Genomic DNA, 23,469 nt, shown 5'->3' on the forward strand with positions numbered 1-23,469 from the left:
TATATTCTTCATTAAAATACATATGACTGATTGTTTTGATAGCTCATGAATCCTGTAGAAGTTTTATCTTTCACAGGTCCATAAATCATCTCAGGAATGGATTCTGATTGACTCAGCTGGGGTCATAGTTTTGGGAGAATGGGTGGGATATGATGATTGACCAGGTCTGGGTCCTTTTTCCCATTTGTAGCAAGGGGTAGAGTGAAGAGGATGGTTACTAGGGTTGAAAAAACCACATGGGTTAGGGAAAGGACAGCTGGGCTGACCAAAATAAAAGATATCTACTTTGTGTGAGTGTGTGTGTGTGTGTGTGTGTGTGTGTGTGAGAGAGAGAGAGAGAGAGAGAGAGAAAGAGAGACAGACAAAGTCTCACTCTGTTGCCCAAGCTGGACTGCACTGGCAGGGTCACAGCTCAGTGCAGACTTGACCTCCTGGGCTTAAGCCGTCTTCCCACCTCAGTCTCCCAAGTAGCTAGTACTACAGGTGTGTGGCACCACATCCGGCTAATTTTTTTTTAACAATTTTTTTGTAGAGATGAGGTCTCGCTATTTTGCCTAGACTGGTCTCAAAATCCCAGCTTCAAGTGATCCTTCCACCTTGGCTGCTAAAGTGCTGGGATTACAGGAGTAAACCAGCGTGCCTGGCTGATGTCTACTCTAGAACGGTAAAGGGAGCTAAATGATTTCCATCACAAATGAATAGTTGAGATGTCTACAATGCACGACAGGCATGCAATAGTCTCTTAATATTGGGAAGGACCTGTTGAAAATAAAGTGGTGAAACAATTACAACGGTTATAATGTGAACTATGAATTAGAATGGTGGAAATAGACATACCAAAATTATAATCCAAGTGTGAAGATTTGAACGACTAGATTGTCCAACAGCCAATGGAAATGGAGAGCTGTCCATGTGAAAAATGTAAAGAAAAGATAAGCAAGATTAAACGACCATGGCTTATGTAATAAAAAGGAAAGGATTTCACGCTGAATTTTTTGCCTTTGACAGATATTTAGAAAAAGGGGATATGAAAAAGTTGTTTTAAATAAAATATCTTATTTAATTAAAATGGATGATCAGATATCTTAAAATACATATCTTCTGAGCAGCATGGAAGGTGGAATTTAGCTTGAGTAAAAGATAAGAGATAAAATAATACAGGAGACATCGTTAGTATTAATTCAATATTTGAAGCCATTATATTTAATGAAAGCACTATCTGAAAAAGCCAAGGAGTATGAAACTAACAATTACTGTTGGATTTTTCCTGAGGGAGATCAATTTCAACAGGGAAGAAGAGAAAGATGCCCACTTGCAAGGGCTCAGGGCGCAGGAGAGACCGTGGAAGTTTATACTTCTTGGCTATGTTTGGCTCTAAACAAAAAAGTGATGAAGATAACATTTCTGTAAATGTCAGCAAAGTCACATTGAAATTATCTTTCAGTAAGAGGCAGTGATTAAAAAGACAGAAGATAAATATCATAACACGAATCCTTAATAGAAGGAAAGATTAAGAATCAGTGCCAAAAGGAAGGTTCATTTTTGCTTGATCTTGCAGGGGAAGATGACAGAGGTATACTGATTCTCCAAAGGAGATAAAGGAAAATGCTCTGTCTCACCATCTACTAATACTATCACTGTTGAGGGAAGACATTAGCTTAAAAGTGTTAGGACTGTGGAGAACTAAGGGGGAAATGTCCAAAATTTTTAGATGAAAGATACTATTTGATTCTTCTGAAGTTTTGAAGAGTACCCACAGGATGCAAGTGCTACTCTTAAATGTCCTAAATGGAGGTAAAAACAGAGGGCTTTTTTTTTTTTTTTAAACAATGGGGAAATCACTGAAGGATTTGCTTAGGATTTGGAGCTAGGCTCTCCTTGCCCGTGTGAACCCCTCCAATAATCTCTATGAAGAATATAGGGAAGGAGTATGATGATCGTTGCTGTCATATGACAGCTAGGTAGCAATTCATCGTATTTAGCTGATTAGGAGCCTAGTTTATTGAGTTTTAATTCCAGACCACCTCTAAGTAGTCATGTGACTTTAGAGAAGTTTCTTAACCTCCTCTGCCTCAGATTTTCCGGATGTAAAATGGTTAATAACAGTAACCTGTGTAGTAGAGTTGATGCTAAAATTAAATGAGTTACTACATGTGAAATGCTTACAAGAATACTAGGCTCATAGTAAGCATAAATGTTAACTATTATTTTTAGACATCTCTGCACTGGTATTTTAAAAAAGAAATTCATGGGTAACTACACTAAAGAGTAATCTAAGACATCATGAGATCTCAATGAATTGGGTTTTGAAAAATATGTGAATATTTTATAGTTTTTTTAAAAATTCCCATCGAGTCTTGTTTTTAAAACAAATGTATTTATTTTCATATTTAAATCACTTATTCAGTTACACAAAGATTTATTATGGAGTTCATTTAAAGAACAAACACCCCTAGTGTGTACCTTGAACACATGACTACAGAATGTTCATCTTAGTTCACTAATTTGCTCATTGTTAATTAATGCAATTATTCATGTATTGATTCAACTAATATTTATATCAAGCATCCACAGTTGCATAGCCATGTGCCTACTTTACAAAAACCAAATAAAGATAACTAATGACTGAGTTGTGAATAGAAATTTATGCAGCTTCATTGACTGTAAGAGAATTTTCTTTACAGTGTCATCCAAGACTGTATTTTTTCCAAATTGGAGAGGGTGATTTAACTTTTACCAATTTGAAGGAAATTCTGTTATGCAATGCAAGGCCATCCTGGAAGACTGCAAGCAAGAAAAAAAAGGTTCCTTTTACATATATCTTTTTCTTGTTTTTAAGTCTAGTTTATTGAATTATAACTTAGAACAGTAAAACTCACCTTTTTCTGTCTACAATTTTATACATTTTGATAAATGCATATACTAAGACCATGATCAAGATATAGAATTGCTATCACCCCAAAACTTCCACTGTGCACATTTGTGGCCAATCACCTACTTCTAGTCATATCCCATGGCAAACATTGACATGTTTTCAGCCCTTATTGTTTTATTTCTGTAATCACCCAACGACTTCTTCCTGCCCAGTGCACAGACCTAATCAATTCACTGAGATAACAGCACTGCAGTAAATAAAGAGTTTAATTGACACAAGGCTGGCCATGCCACACAGGAGTCGGAGTTATTACTCAAATCAATCTCCCTGAAAATTCAGAGGCTAGGGTTTTTCAAGGATAATTTGGTCAGCAGGAGGATAGGGGAATGGATGCTGGTTGGGGATGCAATCATAGGAGTATGGAAAACAGTCTTCCTGTACTGAGTTTGCCTCTAGGTGGAAGCCACAGCAAGGTGCTGGTCCAGAGGAACCATCTGGTCTTCAGAAATGCAGAATCCTGAGAAGACATCTCAAAAGGCCAGTCTTCAGTTCTACAATAGTGATGTTATTTACAGAAATAATTGGGGAAGTTGTAAAATCTTGTGACCTCTGAAATAATGGCTGGTAATCATTTAATTATGCCTACATCTTAAGAGAATTCAGGCCCCTCTCATCCTCCTAACCTAATGGACTTTCATTAGTTTTACTAGGTGGTTTAGTTTTGGGGAAAGGCTATTTTCATTTAAACTACAAACTAAATTTCTCTCAAAGTTAGCTTAGCACAAATCCAGGAATGACCAAGAGCAGTTTGGGGGTTAAAGGCGAGATGAGGGTTGGTTAGATCACATCTCTTTCATTGTCATAATCTTCTCACTGTTAGAAGTTTTGCAAAGGCGATTTCATTTCTGGAATGTCATATAAACGGAATCATAGCATATAGCTGTTTTATCCTAGATTGTTTTGCATAGCATTGTGTATTTGATATTTATCTATATTGAATTACTATTAGGTTGGTGCAAAAGTAGTTGCAGTTTTTGCCATTACTTATAATTACTTATATGTAATTACTTTTACACCAACCTATCAACAGTTCATTTTTTATGTATTTTTTACTAATATTTAATTCTGTAGCTGTATTTTAATTTATTATCCTCTAGTTAATGACAATTGAGATTATTTCCAATTTTGGCAATAAAGCTATTAGAAAAAAATATGCATAGTTTTTCTGTGAATACAGTTGCCCTTCATTTCCATGAGTTTTGAATTCATGGATTCACACAACCACAGACTGAAAATATAACAAAAAGTAAACAAAAAATAAAACAATTTAAAAATGCAAATAAAAAAGCAAAGTATAATGACAATGTACATAGCATTTACATTGTATTAGGTATTATAATCTAATCTAGGCAACCAGGCAATGGCAGTATTATAATCTAATCATCTGGGGAATCTAGAGATGATTTAAAGTATACAAAAGGATGTGTGTAGGTTATATTTAAACCTTAGACCATTTTCTATGAGGTACTTGAGTACCTGTGGATTTTGGCATCTGAGGGGGTCCTGAAACCAATTCTCCATCAATACCAAAGGATAACTACATATGTTTCTATTTCTCTTGAGTAAATCCTAGAAGTGAGATTTCTGGGTCATATGATAAGTAAATCTTTAACTCTATAAGAAATCTCCAAACTGTTTTCCAAAGTATCCATTCCGCATTTCCATTAGCAATGTATGAGAGTCACATATGTGGTGTATCTTTGCAGGCACTTTATAGTCAGTGTCTTTTAATTGAAACCATTCTAACAGGAGTTTAGTTGTAACATATTGTGGCTGTAATTTGCATTTCTCTATTGAATAATGATGTTCAGCATCTTTTCATGTGCTTATTTACCCATTTATCATTTTTGGGGAAGTGCTTATATAAATCTTTTGCTCATTTTTATTGGGTTATTTGTTTTCTTATTGCTGAGTTGTAAAATTTCTGAATGTATGTTATGGATACCAGTCCTTTATCAGACATCTGTTTTGCAAATATTTTTCCAGAGTCTGCAACCTTTTTATTTTCTTAACATTATCCTTCAAAGAGCAGACATTTTTAATTTTGATGAAGCCCAATTTATCTATTTTTTCTGTTGTAGTTTGTGCTTTCTTGTTTTATCTAAGAAATATTTGCCTCACTCAATGTTCCAAATAATTTTTGTTTTCTTCTAGAAATTTTATAAGTTCAGTCTTTACATATAGGTCTACAACCCATTTTGAGTTAATTTTTTAATGTAACGATGGATAAGGGTCAAGGATTACCATTGTGGATATGGATATTCAATTTTTCAAGAAGAAAAATCTTTCTCCTATGAATTGCCTTGGTATGCTTGTCAATTGACCATATTATGTGTGGGTGTATTTCTAGATTCTCTTCTTTTCTTTTGATCTATATATCTATTACCATGTAAATAACAAGTTGTCTTAATAACAGTGGCTTCAAAGTAAGTCAGGTAGTGTGATTTCTGTAACTTGGTTTTTTGTGTTTTAACTATTCCAGTTCCATGAGATTTCCATGTAAATTTCAGAATCAGCATATTGATTTCTGTAAAATAAAAGCCTGCTGGAATTTTAGGATTTCATTGAATCTGTAGGTAAATTAAGGGAGAATTGACATAATAACAATATCGAGTCTTCCAATTTTTTAAAAATGTAAATCATCTAGGAAAGGGTTTGAGCATTCTAATGCAGGGGTTCCCAGCTCCCGGAACACAGACCAGTACTGGTCCTAACGGAACTGGGCTGCACAGCAGGTGAGCTGTGGGCAAGTGAGCGTTACTGTCTCCAGTTCAGATCAGCAATGGCATTAGATTATCACAGGAGTACAAACCCTGTGGTGAACTGTGCATGCGAGGGATCTAGGTTGTGTGGTCTTTATGAGAATCTAACTAATACCTGATGATCTGAGGTACAGCAGTTTCATCCCAAAACCATCCCTCCCCACCCACCCTGTGGAAAAAATTGTCTTCCATAAAACCAGTCCCTGGTGCCAAAAAAGTTGGGGACTGCTGTTCTAATACATGAGCACAGTATGCTTCTTTATTTCTTAGGCATTTTGTGTTTCTCTCATCAGTGCTGTATAGTTTTTAATAAATCTTGTACATACTTTGTTAGATTTATCCCTATCTCCCATTGTGGTGCTATTGTAAATAATACTTTAAAATTTTCAATTTCTAATTGTTTACTGCAAATATATAGAAAGGTCATTGATTTCTGTATATTGCCCTTGTGTTCTGCAACTTCACTAAAGTCAATTATTAGTTCCAGCAGCTTTATTGGAGATTTCTTGTCTTTGTGATTTCTTTACAGAGACAATTAGGTCGTCTGTGAATAAAGACTATTTCATTTATCTTTTTCAATTATATATGCATTTTAAAAAATTTATTATATATCTTCTATACTATGTTGAAAGGAATGATGAGAATGACATTCTTACCTCATTTCTGATTTCAGGGGAAAGCATTCCATCTGTTACCATTATGTATGGAATGTGTTTATAGATTTTTCATACATACCCTTTATAAGGTTGAGAGTGTTCCCTTTAATTCCTACTTTGGTTAGGGTTTTTTCATGTTTTGTTTTGCTTTTTAAACCATGAATAAATGTTAAATTTTGTCAAATGTCTTTTGTGCCTCAACTGAGATGATCATATGGTTTTTTTCTCCATTAGTCTATTAATACGGTGAATTAAACTTACTGATTTTCATATTGACCCAATCTTGCTTTCCTATGATAAACCGCATTGTATCAGGTTCTATTATTATTTGAATGTATTTCTTAATTTAATTTGCTTTTTTGTTTTTTGAGACGGGGTCTCACCCTGTTGCCCAGGCTTCAGTGCAGTGGCACAATCTTGACTCACTGCAACTTCTGCCTCCGAGGCTCAAGCAATTATCCCAGCCTCCCAAGTAGCTGGGATTACAGTGCATACCACCATGCCTGACTAATTTTTGTATTTTTTTCTTTTGTAGAGATAGGGGTTCATTGTGTTTCCCAGACAGGTCTTGAACTCCTGGGCTCAAGTGATCCACCCACCTCTGTCTCCCAAAGTGCTAGGATTACAGGTGTGAGCCACTGTGCCCAGCCTAATTTGCAAATTTTTAAAAAGAATTTTTGCATCAGTGTTTATGAGGGATATTGGTTTATAGCATTGTCAAGTAGATACATAGTAAAAATCACAAACGTATTTTTAAATCGTATTGTAATAACATAAAAACAAAAATAGCCAAATTAATTTTAATAATGTAATTTATTTAATATAAATATTACCAATAGTTATAATATCATATCAATGTAAAATATTTATGAAACATTTTGTCTTTCTTTCATACTAAGGCTTTGAAACGTGGTGTTTATTTTATAATCACAGCACATCTGAAGTGGGGCTAGCAACATTTCAAGTGCAGAATGGGTACATATTGCTGTTGGCTGCAATATTGCACAATGCAGGTGTGAGGTCTTCTTTTCTTGACAATTTTTGTCTCATCTTGGTACCAGGGTAATGTTGGCCTCATAAATGAGTTGGAAAGCACTTCCTCCTTTTATATTTTTCTGGAAGAATGTTTGCAGAATTGGTCTTATTTCACCTTTAAATGAAGTTTGCCTGTTAATATCTGGGCCTGAAGTTTTCTTTGTTGAAAGATGTTTATGAATTCAATTTATTTAATAAATATAGAACTTTTCCAGCCATCCAATTATTTTCTATTGAGCTTTGGTAGGAATTCAAGGAGTTTTTCCATTTTATCTATGTGTCAAATTTATTGACAAATAGCTGTTCATAATGTTCCCATAATATCCTTTTAATGTCTGTAGAATTTACAGTAATGTCCTTTCTTTTATTTATGATATTGATACTTTCTCTTTTTCTTTTCTGATATTGGTAATTTCTTCTCTTCTTTTTTGTAATTAACTCTATTTTTAGAGCAGTTTTAAGTTCACAGCAAAATTTCGAGGAAGGTACGGAGATATCCCATATACACCCTGCCCCCACACATGCATAACTTACCCCTATTATCAATATTTCCCATTAGAGTGGTACATTTGCTACAATTAATGAATCTGCACTGACACATCATTATCACTCAAAGACCATAATTTGCATTGGGGTTCACTATTAGTGTTATATATTGGGTTATTTGGACAAAAATATAATGACATATATCCTCTATTATAGTATCATACAGAGTTGTTTTGCTGCTCAAAAAATCCTCTGTGCTCTGTCCATTCATCCCTTGCTCTGAACACCTGGCAATCACTGATCTTTTCATGCTCTTCATAGTCCTGACTTTTCCCAAATGCCATATAGGTAAATCAGACAGTATGTCACCTTTACAGACTGGCTTCTTTCACTTACTAATAAACATTTAAGTGTCCTTCAGCCTTTTCATGACTTGATAGCTCATTTCTTTTTAGTGCTAAGTGTTCCATTGTCCGGATGTACCACAGCTTACTTACCACTCACCTATTAAAGGATATCTTGGTTACTTCCAAGTTTTGCAATTCTGAATAAAGCTACTATAAGCATCTGCACAAAGGTTTTTGCAAAGACATAAATTTCCCACTCATTGGGGTTAAAATACCAGGAAGCATGAGTGGTAGTAAGAGTAAACTTAGTTTGGTAAGAACCATTTTTCAAAGTGTCTATACCATTTTGTATTCCCAACATCAATGATGAGAGTTCCTGTTCCTCCACATCCTTACTAGCATTTGGTGTTGTCAGTGTTCTGAATTTTGGCCATTCTAATAGGTATGCAGTGGTATTTTACGTTGTTTTAATTTGCATTTCCCTGATGACATACTGTGTGGAGCATATTTTCAAATGCTTAATTGCGATATGTGAATCTTTCTTTTTTCTTTCTTTTTTTTTTTTTTTGAGACAGAGTCTCACTCTGTCACCCAGGCTGGAGTGCAATGGCGTGATCTTGGCTCACTGCAAGCTCTGCCTTCCAGCTTCAAGTGATTCTCCTGCCTCAACCTCCTGAGTAGCTGGGATTACAGGTGTGTGCCACTACACCTGTCTAATTTTTATATTTTTTAGTAGAGACAGGGTTCGCCATGTTGGCCAAGCTGGTCTTGAACTCCAAACTTCAAGTGATCCACCTGCCTTGGCCTCCCAAAGTGCTGGGATTACAGGTGTGAGCCACCATGCCCAGCTCTTATATGTATCTTCTTTGAGATGTCTGTTAAGTTCCTTGGCCCATTTTTTAGTTGGGTTGTTTTGTCTTGTCTTTACTTTTTTTTTTTTTTTGAGACAGAGTCTCTGTTGACCAGGATGGAGTACAGTGGTGCAATGAAGGCTCGTTGCAGCTGTGACCTCCCAGGCTGAAGTGATCCTCTCACCTCTGTCTTCTGAGTAGCTGGGACCACAGGCGTGTGCCACCACACCCAGTAATTTTGTTGTTGTTGTATATTTTTGTAGAGATAGGATTTTACTGTGTTGCCCAGGCTGGTCTCAAACTCCTGGGCTCAAGCAATCTGCCTGACTCAGCCTCCCAAAGTGCTGGCATTACAGTCATGAGCCACTGCACCTGGCCAGCTCGTATTTTCAGTCTCTTGTCAGTGTCTTTTGCAGAGCAGGAATTTTTATTTTAATGAAGTCCAGTTTATCAATTTTTTCTTTCATAGATCATGGTTTTTGTGTCATATCTAAAGAGTCATTATAAAACCCAACACCATCTAGATTTTCTTCTAGGTTATCTTCTGGGAGTTTTATAGTTTTGCATTTTACATGTAGGTCTGTGACTCATTTTGAGCTAATTTTTGTGAAGGGTTTAAGGTCAGCATCTAGAATCATTTTTTTTAAACATGTGGATGTACAGTTACTCTAGCACCGTTCACTGAAAAGACATTGTTTCTACGTTGTATTGCTGTTGTTCTTTGGTTAAATATCAGTTGACTATATTTATGTTAATTTATTCTTCAGATATCTATTCTTTTTCATTGATCTATTTGTCTATTCTTTCACCAATACCACACTGTCCTAATTACTATAGCTTTATAATAAGTCTTGATATCAGGTAGTGTCACTCTTCCAACTTTGCTCTTCTCTGTAAATATTGTGTTGGTTGTTCTGGGGCTTTTATTTTTCTACATAAACTTTAGAATCAGTTCATCCTGATTCTACTGATATCCACAAAATAACCTACTGATGTTTTGATTGAAATTGCACTGAATCTACATATACATTTAAGAACAACTAAAATCTTGACAATATTAAATTTCCATATCTTTGGCTTTTTTATGATCTTAGTGGGCAAGCTTCTAGTTTCTCATCATTAAATATTATGTGAGCTGCAGGTTTATAATTGATATTCTTCAATAAGTTGAAAGTTTTCCTCTATTTTGAGTTTGCTGAGAGTTTTTATCATGAATGGATTCCTAATTTTGTCAAATGCTTTTTCTGTGTCTGTGGATATGATTATGTAATTTTTCTTGTTTAACCTGTTAAATAATAGATTCTATAATTGGTTTTCAAATTTTTAACCAGCCTTTCATACCTGAGGTCCTAAGTCCCACCTAGTTATGGTATATAGTTATTTTTATACATTGTTGGTTTTGATTTACTAATATTTTATTGAGGATTTTTGCATCTAGGTTCTAGAGAGATATTGATTGTACTCTTCTTTTTCTTATAATATCTTTGGTTTTGGTATAGGATATTGCTGGCCTTCTAGTATAAGTTAGGAAGTCTTTCCTCTGCTTCTGTTTCTGAAAGACATTGCAGAGAGTTGGCATTATTCCTTCTTTAAATGTTTTATAGAATTCCCCAGCAAACTCTTCTAGGCCTGGTGTCTTCTGTTTTCAAAGGTTATTAGATACTAATTCATTTTCTTTAATGGATATAGGACTATTCAGATTATCTACTTCTTCTTGTATGAGTTTTGACAGATTACGTATTTAAGGAATTTGTTCATGTCACCCACATTATTAAATGTGTAGGCACAGAGTTGTTCATAATATTCCTTATTATTCTTTTAATGTCCCTGGAATCTGTACTAATGTAACCCCTTTCATTGTGATATTAGTAATTGTCACCTCTTTTTTACTTAGCCTAATTAGAAGCGTATTGATTTTATTGATCTTTTCAAAGAACCATCTTTTGGTTTTGTTGATTTTTCTCTATTGATCTACTGTTTTCAGTTTCACTGATTTCCACTGTAATTTTTATTATTTATTTTCTTCTGTTTATTTTAGAATTAACTTGCGGGGTTTTTTTTTAATGTTTTCCTAAGGCAGAAGCTTAGAAAATTGATTTGAGATCTTTTTTCTTTTCTAATACATGCATTCAATACTAGACATTTCCCTCTAGGCACTGCTTTTACTGCATCCCACAAATTTTGATAAATTGTGCTTTTAATTAATTAAAAATAGTTTATAATTTCTTTTGAGATTTCTTCTTTGATCCATGTTTTATTTATAGGTGTGTTCCTTAATCTTAAAATATTTGGGGATTTTACAGCTATATGTTTGTTATTGATTTCTTATTTAATTTCATTGTTGCATGAGCAGATATTGTATAATTTCCATTCTTTTAAATTTGTTGTGTTTTATGATCCAACTGTGGTATGTCCTGACAAATGTTTCATGTGAGCCTGAGAATAATGTATATTCTGCTGTTGCTGGAAGAAGTAGACTACTACAGATGTCCACTGTATCCAGTTGATTGATGGTGGTGTTGAGTTCAACTCTGTTCTTACTGATTTTCTGCCTGCTGGGTCTGTCCATTTGTGATGAGAGACTTGAAGTCTCTGGCTGTAATAACGCATTCATCTATTTCTCCTTCCACTCCTATGAGTTTTTGCTTCATGTGTTTTGATTCCGTGTTGTTAGACAGGCACACACATTAACGATCGTTATGTCTTCTTGGAGAATTGACCCTTTATCATTATGTAATGACCCTCTTTATCCCTACAACTTTACTCGCTTTGAAGTCAGCTATATCTAAAATTAATATAACTACTTCTACTTTCTTTCAATTAATGTTAGCATGATATATCTTTCTCCATATATTTACCTTTAATCTGTAGGTCTTTATGTGTAAAGTGGGTTTTTTGTAGACAACATATAGTTGTATTTTGATCTGCTCTGATAATTTCTATCTTTGAATTCCTGCATTTAGACCATTGACACTCAAAGTTCTTGATATAGGTGGATTAATATCTACCACATTTATTACTGTTTTGTATTTTGTTGACCTTTTTTGCTTATCTTTTTCCCACTCATCCACTCTTTTTCTGCCTTCTGTGATTTTACATTGTGTATTTTATATGATTTTATATGATTTCATTTTCACTCTTTTACACTTCTTTTTTTCACTTTTTTTTAGTGATTGTCCTAGAGTTTCCAATGTACATTACAACTAATCCAAGTTAACTTTTAAGTAATACTTTGCCATTTCACAAGTAGTATGAATACTTTATAATCCTAATTCCCCCCTTCTGACCCTTGTGTCATTGCTAGCATTCATTGCAATATATATATTAAATTGAATTATATATATATATTATATATACACACACATACATATGAACATACGTAAGCATATGTAATTGAATACATTATCATCATTATGATTTTGAACAAATTATTATGTTAGATCTATAAAGAATAAGAAAAAAGTTTGTATTTTACCTTCACTTTTTTTTCTTCAATGCTTTTTCTTTCCTTATGTAGATCTGAATTTCTGACCTATATCATTGTCCTTCTGTCTCAAAAAAGTTCTTTTCACATATCCTGCAAGATACGTCTACTGGCAATAAAGTCCCTCAATTTTTGTTGTTGTTTGTTTGTTTGTTTAAGTCTTTATCTCTCTTTCACTTTTGAAGGATCATTTTATAGGGTACAGAACTGTACATTGGTGGATTTTTTTTTCTTTCAACACTTTATTTCCTTCCACTCTCTTCTTGTTTGCATGGATTTTGAGAAGCTAAATGTAATTATTATCTTTGCTCTAGTACAGGTAAGGTATTTCTTTTCTCTGGCTTCTTTCATAATTTTTTCTTTATCTTTGATTTTCTGTAGTTTGAATATGATATGCCTAGGTGTAGAGATTTCTTTTGTGTAATTTTAGGGGGGAATTTACCCTATTTTTGTTTTCTGAGTTTCCTCAATATGCGGTTTGGTATCCAAATTAATTTGGGGAAAATCTCTGTCATGATTGTCTAAACATATCTTCTGATCCATTCTCTCTTTTTTCTTCGGATACTCCCATACATAGATTTACACCTTTTGTAGTTGCCCCACCGTTCTTGGATATTCTGTCTTATTATTTCCAGTCTTTTGTTTTCTTTGCTTTTTAGTTTTGGAGGTTTCTATGGAAATGTCCTAAAACTCAGAGATTTTATTCTCAGCCATGTCCAGTCTACAAATAAGTCTATCAAATGCATTCTTCATTTCTGTGACAATGTTTCTGATCTCTAGCATTTCTTTTTGGTTCTTTCTTAGAATTTCATCTCTCTACTTGCATTGTCCATCATTTCCTATAGACTCTTTTCGATTAAAGTCACTAGTATATTTGCCATCGTTGTTTTAAATTCTGTCCGATCATTCCAGCATCTCTGTGATATCACAGTCTGCTTTTGATGCTTGTTTTGCCTCTTCAAACTGTGTTATTTGCCTTTTAGTATGCTATTTAACCTTTTCTTGAGAGCCCCAAATAAAAGGAACTTCTGTAGCTAGGCCTTTAGTAATGTGGTGGTGTGGTGTGTAGGAGAGGAAGCATCCAATAGTCCTATGATTGGGTCTCAGTCTTCTAATGAGCCTCAGTCAGACCGTGAACTCCACACATGCTTCTGCCTCCCCCTCCCGCCTCATTGTCTTAGCTGGAAGAGTCTGGACTTGGCCTTTTCCTTCCTCCAGCTCAGTAAGGCTTTGATAAAATCCCAGTGGGTGAGGTTCTGGTAAAATAGTTTCTCCTGAGGGCAGATTTTGCTAAGAAGACTATAATTCTTTGGGCTATTTCAAAATGGTTTATTTTCCCCTCTCCATGAAGGAAGCATAAGGGAATTTTTCTATGCCACTTATTATGACAACAGGCTGAACTCCTGAAGGTAAAACTCACAAGAGTGTGGAAACCCCCATATGACTGAATGATATGGTTTGAATGTTTGTCTCCTGAAAATCTCGTGTTAAAATGTGATCTCCAATGTTGGAGGTGGGGCCTGGTGGGAGGTGTCTGGGTCACGGGGGCAGATTCCTCATGAATGGCATGGTGCCCTCCCCATAGTAATGAGTCCATGTGAAAGCTGATTATTTAAAAAAGCCTGGGACTTTCCCCTTCTCTCTTTTGCTCCCTCTCTTACCTGCCACGTGACATGCTGGCTCCCCTTTTGCCTTCCGCCATCATTGTAAGCTTCGTTAAGACTCTCATTAGAAGCAGAGGCTGGCATCACACTTCTTGTACAGCCTGCAGAACCGCCAGCCAATTAAACCTTTTGCCTTTATAAATTACCCAGTCTCAGGTATTCCTTTATAGCAATGCAAAACTGCCTAAGACACTGAGCCTCCCTGGAGTTTTTAATTCTCGGAGTTGTTCCCAGAGAGCCTCTAGCAGTTCATCAATTACGGTTCAGGTTTTCCTACCCTGGTACCGGTTCCCACGGAGGGTTCTGCTTGTGAGCTTCTGACCCAGCAAGTCATAATTCTCTGTATTCACCTATCTGTCTCTCTAATTTTGGGGACAGCAGTTTACCTTGTGATATCACTTCTCTTGTAGATCTAAAAAAGTTGCTTTTTCAGTGTGTTCAGCTTTTTACTTATTGTTAGGATAGAGTGACAACTTCCAAGCTTCTCTGATGCTGTACCAGCAACCAGAAAACTTCTCCAGTTTTTGTTTTTGATCGTATACCCAAATGTTTATCGATCGTACTCCTCTTTTCAAGACCCAAATTTGGTTTCATTGGTTCCCTCGTATTGTTTTTCTGTTCTCAATTTTATTGGTTTCTGCCATTATCCTTATCATTTCCTTTCTTCTGCTTGCTTTGTTCTTAATTTGAACCTTTCTCCTTTCCCACCTTCCAGTTTCTTATGGTAGGTGCTTTAATTGTTGATTTCAAAGCTTCCTTCCTTTCTGACAGAATTGTGGAAAGCTTTAAGTTTCCCTCAAAGCATGGCTTTAGTTGTATTCCACAGGTTTTTTTTTCCCATATATTTTTAAGTTCTTTTGTTAGGTTGGAACCACATAGAATTGGTATGTCTTCTCTGTGAATTGGCCTTTTTATCAATAAGCTGCTCATGAAATAAAATAAATTATATACTGACAATAAAACTGATTTACTTCAGGGACTATTTTTCATACATGACAGTGAATGAGTTTATTATTTATGAAAGCAATTTTTTTAAGTTGCTGAAATTTTAGTTTACTTATATTTACTTATATTTAGTTGTATATATTTAAAATATATAAATCTTGATTTTAACAGGTATAAATGTCAAAATTGAAACTTAGGAAACAGATATGGGAAATATACCAGTTATATTTTCAGTATACACCTTTGTGTCCCATAGCCCCTTGAGCATATCTCAATTATGAATTCTCTATTTGCTTATTTCTCTCTCTTTTTTTTTTTTTTTTGACGGAGTCTTGCTCTGTCGCCCAGGCTGGAGCGCGGTGGCGCGATCTCGGCTCACTGCAAGCTCCGCCTCCCGGGTTCACACCATTCTCCTGCCTCAGCCTCCCGAGTAGCTGGGATTACCCGCGCCTGCCACCACGCCCGGCTAATTTTTTGTATTTTTAGTAGAGATGGGGTTTCACCGTGTTAGCAAGGATGGTCTCGATCTCCTGACCTTGTGATCCGCCCGCCTCAGCCTCCCAAAGTGCTGGGATTACAGGCGTGAGCCATTGCGCCTGGCCTCTCTGTCTTCTTATACACATACTTGGGACAAAAACTGTGTCTTAATCTCTGATGCTCAGCCCAATAACTGATTCATAGAAGGTATTTAATAAAGTATAACTACATAAATGCATAATTAATTACTCAGGCTTTCCTCATTTTGCAGAAGACTTTATTTTAAATACTGAGCTCTCCTAAGACCTTTCTTTGAGTTTCATGTTATGATGTACCAGTCACCCCAGTCTGCTATTGTTTTAGCATTAAAAGTCTTGCCTCTCGGGTACAGTGGCTCATGCCTGTAATCCCAGACTTTGGGAGGCTGACGAGGGTGGATCACTTGAGGCCAGGAGTTTGAGACCAGCCTGGCCAATTCTGTCTCTATTAAAAATACAAAAATTAGTCAGGCGTTGTGGCGGGCACCTGTAGTCCCAGCTACTTAGGAGGCTGAAGCATGAGAATCGCTTGAACCCAGGAGGCAGAGGTTGCAGTGAGCTGAGTTGTGCCACTGCACTCCAGCCTGGGTGATAGAGTGAGACACACTGTCTCAAAAGAAAAAATTCTTGCCTCTCCGGAATGTAGCCCCTCAGTCCTGGGAAAACTGGGATGGTTAGTCACCTTATAGCTTCTCAAAGTGAATCTGAATGCTTAAAATGAGAACAAAATATTGTGACTTGAAATTATACTTTTAAAGTTGTAAGGCTGATGTCAGTTGGAATTAGTCAAATGAGTATAATTAAATCACGAAGTTCATTAACATGTTTTTTAAGCTGGGCACAGAGGTATTTTATAATGATTATACATTTCATTTTATTTTCCTGTGGAAATGTGTCCTTGCTTTGTAAAAAATAGCTTTTCAAGACTTGTTTTGGTTGACTCTTGATTCACAGGAGGTCGAGAAGGCAAAATTGAATTTTAAAATGCTGTTTCTCCTTGGCATTACACCCAACCAGATAAAAAGTAGAACACTGACTTAAGAAGCCAGCTGGGTGTCTGAATAATGCCACACAGCACATACTTGACAGAGTTACCTCCATTTTGTGTTAATCATTTCTAAGGAAAAAAAAAATAGGCTTAATTTCATTGGAGCAAACTGATAGAATAAAGTAACAGGTTTTTTTTTTTTTTTGACAGTGGTTATTCATAACCTCACTTTCCCTTCTATAAACCCCAATTTCAATACCTTCCTCTGTTTGTCAGCAAAGTGTTTTTCAATATTGCAACAGGATATTATGCAAATATAAATCACACTGGATTGGACTATTTCCTTAGCAGCAAAAGCAATGTTCTTGCTGGGATGATAAGTGTAAATGTCTCTAATTATCCTTTACTACACAGCAGTCTGAGGAAAAAATCAGGCTACAAATAGAAAAATGAGCTAGACTGTATATGTTGAAAAATAGATTGTTAATTTAATTCATAAAGAACAAAACAGTTAATTACTTTATAGGACAAACTTTCTTGGTCTTTTCTGATTTCAGATGTATATGTATGTGATATAATTATCTGTATCTTTCACATAGCTTACAGATTCCAACAAAATCATGATTCTTGCATAATTAAGAAACAATGCTGAGATAGAAAAGTCAGCCAGACACGGTGGCTCATGCCTATAATCCCAGTACTTTGGGAGGCCATGGCGGGTGGATCACCTGAAAGACTAGCCTGGCCAACATGGCGAAACCCTTTCTCTACTAAAAATACAAAAAATCAGCTGGGCGTGGTGGTGCATGCCTGTAGTCCCAGCTACTCAGGAGGCTGAGGCAGAAAAATTGCTTGAACCCGGGAAGCAGAGGTTGCAGTGAACCAAGATCATGCCACTGCACTCCAGCCTTGGAGACAAAGTGAGACTCAGTCTCAAAAAAAAAAAAAATAATAAATAAATAAAAAATAAGAAAAAGTCGTAAGTCAATACCATAGATGAGGCGCTGAGATGAACACCAATGCAGAATGACTGTAAATGTCATCTGTTTATTCTGCTTCTTTCTATTTTTAAATAAAAAGATGGAAGGTAAGATGTAATGCTTAGTTTCAAAATTTTAAAGAGATAATTGAAATGTACCTATTAGGTCCTTATATCTTCATGGATCTGTCAGTTTAAGGAAATGTTTTGGCAGTCAAGGCAAAATAAGGGATGCAGAAAACTATATGATGTGCTCATGTGTATTGTCCACTTCCACTGCAGTACGTATTTTGTTCTTTTTTCTAAGTACGAATAAGGAGATTTTGCTGACTTTTCAGAAGTAGCCAAAAACGTTTCCTTGTTCCTAAAATCATTAACAACAATAGCTAACATAGATCAAGTGCTTACTATATGCCAAGCTAACCATGTGTAGGAGGGACTTACTATTATTATACCAATTTTAGAAATTTAAACAACAAACAAAGAAACCCTCAGACTTCACTTAACTTGATTGTTCAGGGATTCACAGCTGGTAAATGGAAAAACCAGCTTTGAAGCTCCTGGTGCCTGAACAAAGCCCATGTGCTCTACCAAGTCCTCTCTACTAGGAAGGACTTCATATGCATCTATAGGAAGCTCTGTGTCCACATTTTATGCTGACACAGATCCTGAGACTGGTATAAGATTGGGATATTCTTTTCGTTTGTGAGCAGATTTATAATGTGTGTATTTTTCAAAAAAAGTCTTAACATTATCCCCAACTATCTCATATTAAATTATGGTGTCTCACACATGAGATAAATTTGTAACAGATTTCTCACTTATGCATAATTAACCAGCCTTTCACAAAATATTTATAGGTAGTTTAGTATAGAAAGAAAGACTTTAGGATCATTACCATCAGTAACTTAGATGGCTGTAGACAACCATTTGTCATTGACACCTAATACATCCTATCCTATAGATCATGAAATGTCCTACTTATTTTCTATCTAATCTCACTTGGTAACTGCACTGGTTCTTCCCACAACTTACTCTCTTACATGCACTGTTGCTTCTTATAGATTTATTTATAGGCACATAACATCCTTTCAGTCATTTCAGTTAAGTAGTCTCTATAAAAAATAAGTTGTGCTGAATTGCTTCAATAAACCTTAGCTACCTTGTGGTAGAGAGACCTTTTGGCTTCATAAGTTGGTCAAATTAATGACTTTAAAAAATCATATGAGTATGTGCTACATTCTAAGATTCTCTATAGTCTAAATTCTTTCTAGGATGATCGGAAGAAATCCAAGGTAGAATTGTACATCTGCAGGTAAGATTTGAGGTTTAGTCTGTAAATTATTTAATTTGTACCTCAGTGTTTTTGTTTTTTAACTCTTACTCTAAACAGTGTCTGTTTATTTGTTTTGGTTTTTTTCCCTTTTTAAAAAAATTTCTGGTTAAACCTGGAGTAAAATAAACATCCAAACAAACATCAGAGGTAGTGTGGGAGAGAAAAAAGTATAATAAATGCATTTAGTCTAATAGAAAGAAGAAAGTCAGACACAAAATAAGAAACGACTGAGCAAGGTTACATTGTATAGTTCCCTTTCTCCAATATGTAGCCACTAGCCAGATGTGGCTACTGAGCATTTGAATTATGGGTAATTTATTTATTTATTTTTAAATTTTATTTTTTGAGTTGAAGTCTTTCTCTGTCGCCCATGCTGGAGTGCAGTGGTGTGAACTTACTTCACTGAAACACCTGCCTCCCGGGTTCAAGTGATTCTCCTGCCTCAGCCTCCTGAGTAGCTGGGACTACAGGCGTGCGCCACTTTGCCTGGCTTATTTTTTGTATGTTTAGTAGAGACTGGGTTTCACCATGTTGGCCAGGCTGGTCTTGAACTCCCAACCTCAGGTGATCTGCCTGCCTCGACCTCCCAAAAAGCTCGGATTACTGGTGTGAGCCACCACGCCTGGCCGAATTATGGGTAATTTAAATTACTATGACATTGGGTTTTGAAGATTTATTATAGAAGAAAAAATGTTAATTATCTCATTAACAAATAACAGTAATTATTTACATTGATTTCACATCGAAAATATTTTGGATAATTTTGTTGAACATTTTTGAAGACTTCTTAAATATAAAACATTATAGCACATAGATGGCCAACATAATATTTCTGTTGAATGATGCTGATGTAAAGCAAGAGAAAAGAGATTTTTCAACCTTCATGATCAAAGAAAGCTTAACAGAGGAAATGCTGGAGAAGGACACTGTATAAGATGCCTGTGATACAGGAAGGAAAACCTCACTTCCGAGGACCCTTCACCGAATTGGAAAAACATACCCAAGTGAGTGTTTACATTTGGCTCTCTATCATGGTCCACCTTTGTTTTACAATAGTGATACAATTGATATTAAAGCTGAGCAAAGAGATTGGAAAAAGTAAAGGACAGAGGACAGAATCTTGGTAACAGCAATGATTTACATACTGTAACAGAGTATATATTTGTTCATAAGCCTTCATTCTCTCTCCAGGCTTGCCATGGTTTCCCAGGGGACACTGTATGCTTCCCTATTCCACTGACTTTAGGCTTGGCCATGTGACCAGCTTGACCAATGTGATGTGTACCAGTTCTGAGTGGCAGTTTTGAAAGACATGACCTATTTCTTTTTGCCCTTTTGTAGTCCTGTCATCCTGAGATGAACAGTTTCATCCTGCTCATCCTTAGATGAACAGATTCCAGATAATTGCGCTACTTCAGCTTAAATCTGGAATAATTGGATTCTGAATTGGATTGGACACATGGAACAGATATGAACCAAAGCCAACCCAGCCTCGTTGAGCCAGAGCCCACCTGCAGAATGTGAGCAGAAGAGAAATGTTTGAGAGATGCTCATTATGCAGCATTATTTCAACAAAACCTGACTAATACACATACACAATATGATTTATCTTCACAACAAGTTGATGAAGAAGGTACTGCTAGCCTCATTTCAAACAAGGAAAATGAGGTACAGAGAGATTAAAATACTCAAAGTCACACAGCTAATAAATGGTGGGAACCTGATTAGAACTCAAGAGATTCTGAGTCCAAATCTAGATAATATTGACCCTGAAATGAAACTGTAACTGCCCAGTGGGTTCACCTTGCTGGCTTCCTAGACAGAGCTGATTTCTCAAGACAGGGGCATTGCAATAGAGAAAACAGTAATTCACGCAGAGCTGGCTGTGTGGGAGACCAGAGTTTTATTTATTACTCAAAACAGTCTCCCTGAGCATTCTGGGATCAGAGTTTTTAAGAACAACTTGGTAGGTGGGGAAGCCAGTGAGCCAGGAGTGCTGACTGGTTAAGTAGGAGATGAAATAATGGTAAGTTGAAGCTGTCCTCTTGTGCTGAGTCAGTTCCTTAGTGGGGGCCACAAGATCATGAGCCAGTTTATAGATCTGGGTGGTGCCAGCTGATGCATCAAGTGCAGGGTCTGCACTGAGCTTAGGAGCAGTTTAGGGAGGATAAGAATCTTGTAGTCTCCAGCTGCGTAACTCCTAAACCATAATTTCTAATCTTGTGCCTAATTTATTAGTCCTACAAAAGCAGTCTAATCCCCAGGCAAGAAGAAGGTTTGTTTTGGGAAAGGGCTGTTATCATCTTTGTTTTAAACTGTGAACTAAGTTCCTCTCAAAGTTAGTTCAGCCTATGCCCAGGAATGAACAGGGACAATTTGGAGTTTAGAAGCAAGATGGAGCTGGTTAGGTCAGCTCAGTTATAATTATGTAATGGCAGTTTCAAAACTTACTTTTATTTTACACATAATGAACATAATTTTTATATTATACTGTAGAATATTTACTTGGGATTTGCATGTTTGCTTTGTTCTGAAAGTTATGGATTCTACTCAACCAAGGTATAAGTTTCTTGAAAGTTGGGTCCTAGCCTGATGCCACTTTGCATTCACTGCAGTATGGAGCTTAGCACTTATTTTGTGTGCTGTTGACTCGCAGAAAAGGTTTGAAGATTGACAGATTGATGCGATGACATTTTATCATATATTCACTATTCATATAACATAACAGACATCGTGATCGCCAAACAAATTAGTCTTTGTGTTTATGCTTAAGGGCTTAGTCTGAATAAGAATAGCTCTCCTCACCCTGGGCTCTTCCTCTCTCCTGTTTCCAGATCTGAGTAAAGAGATCTTAGTTGATGGCTTTGGTTCAGGACTCTTGGTTCATTCATGGCTTGTACTACCTGCTGTCCTCTGGAGGATCTGAGGGGCACTGTGTTTTGTGCTTTTGTGTAAGGAACAGCAAAAAGCATGCAAAGGCACAGCAACAGAGCTATATTTTAAAGAAATACAGATCCAGAATCCACTTATTTTAAAATTCTAAACAAATGAGCAGTAAATAATGTGATGAAAATGGGGCTTTCCTGCAACTAACACCATGGTTCCCTGTAGCCTTTGTCTCTAAGATATCAAACCTTTGAAGCAAAGAATTATTTCAGATGTTAGCACACTTTTTTTCCTCTTAAAATTATGGAATTCCCCATTCAAAAATTTGCCAAAATTGAAGAAACAGGTTAACTATCTATAGTTCAAAGAAAAATTATATTCTGGTAATTTTTTTCTTTATTATTTTTAAAATTATGGCAAACTGTGTAGTGATTATACCTTCACTGGTATTGTTTATTTCTCAAGCTACTACTCAGTGTCCTGCATTTCAGACTGAAGGATCTTTGTAGCATTTTTTATAGGGCAGGTCCATCAGCTACAAACACCCTGAGCTTTATTTATCTAGGAAAGACTAAATTCCTCCTTCCTCTTGGAAGGACAGTTTTACTGGATAAAGAATTCTTGATTGAAGTTTCTGTTGGTTTTTTTGTTTGTTTTGTTGTCCTTTCAGCACTTTTAGTATTCCATGTCTGTCCTTCATGATGAGAAATCAAACTGCTAATCTTAGTGAGCAGGTAATGTTTGCATTGACACACTTCAGACAGCCTGTCTTGTTAAAAATGTATTAAGGTGAAAATGAAGGAGACAGATAAAAGGAGTTACTGATAGAGAAACCAGGGTTTCATTGGATCATAGAATCTCTAGGCTAAAAGGAATGTGAAAGGTTATTTGTCCAACTGTAAACACATCAGACCAATCTGCTTCAACTGTTATGTAACAGAGTTGTGAGTTGTTTTTCAGTTGCCATGGACCCCTAGGTTGAAGACCACAGAAGCTAAGCATGCCCCAGTGAACCACGTATGCAACTCTGAGTAGAGCTTAAGTACTTGAACCAAGAAGCGGGGGCTGAATTAAGAAGCAGAGAACACATGGCAGGATCCAGAATTCAATCAGATTGAGCCCTGGTGTCACCCCATGGCAGGATACAGTCAGATCATGACTCCTAGCATCACCTCATTGCAAGATTCAATCAGATCACATCTCATTACCCTATGCTTATAAAACACAACCTAGTCCCAGCTCTGGGAGACAGATTTGAGCATTTCCTCCCATTTCCTTGTGAGTCGACTCACAGTAAGCTTTTCTCACTGCAAAAACCCAGTGCTTCAGTGTTTGGCTTTCCATTGTGCAGTCAAATGGATCCAGTTTGATTCAGTGACACAACCACTGTGACTAAAGGTATATGAACTTTCAAAATATACTCAAACGTTCTAGTGATATATTGAATAATTGTTAGGATTCAGGATGTAAATCTGAATTAGTTGTATATAAGGAAGATTGTACATTATCAGGATTTGATTACTTCTGCTTTGTAGGCTGCCAAATTTGTTTCAGGGCAACCAGTGAGAAAGTCTACAAAACCAGAAAATACCCATGGCAT

The sequence above is a fragment of the Homo sapiens genome, chromosome 8 (genome assembly GCF_000001405.40).
Source record: "Homo sapiens chromosome 8, GRCh38.p14 Primary Assembly".
Taxonomy (NCBI): Eukaryota; Metazoa; Chordata; class Mammalia; order Primates; family Hominidae; genus Homo; species Homo sapiens.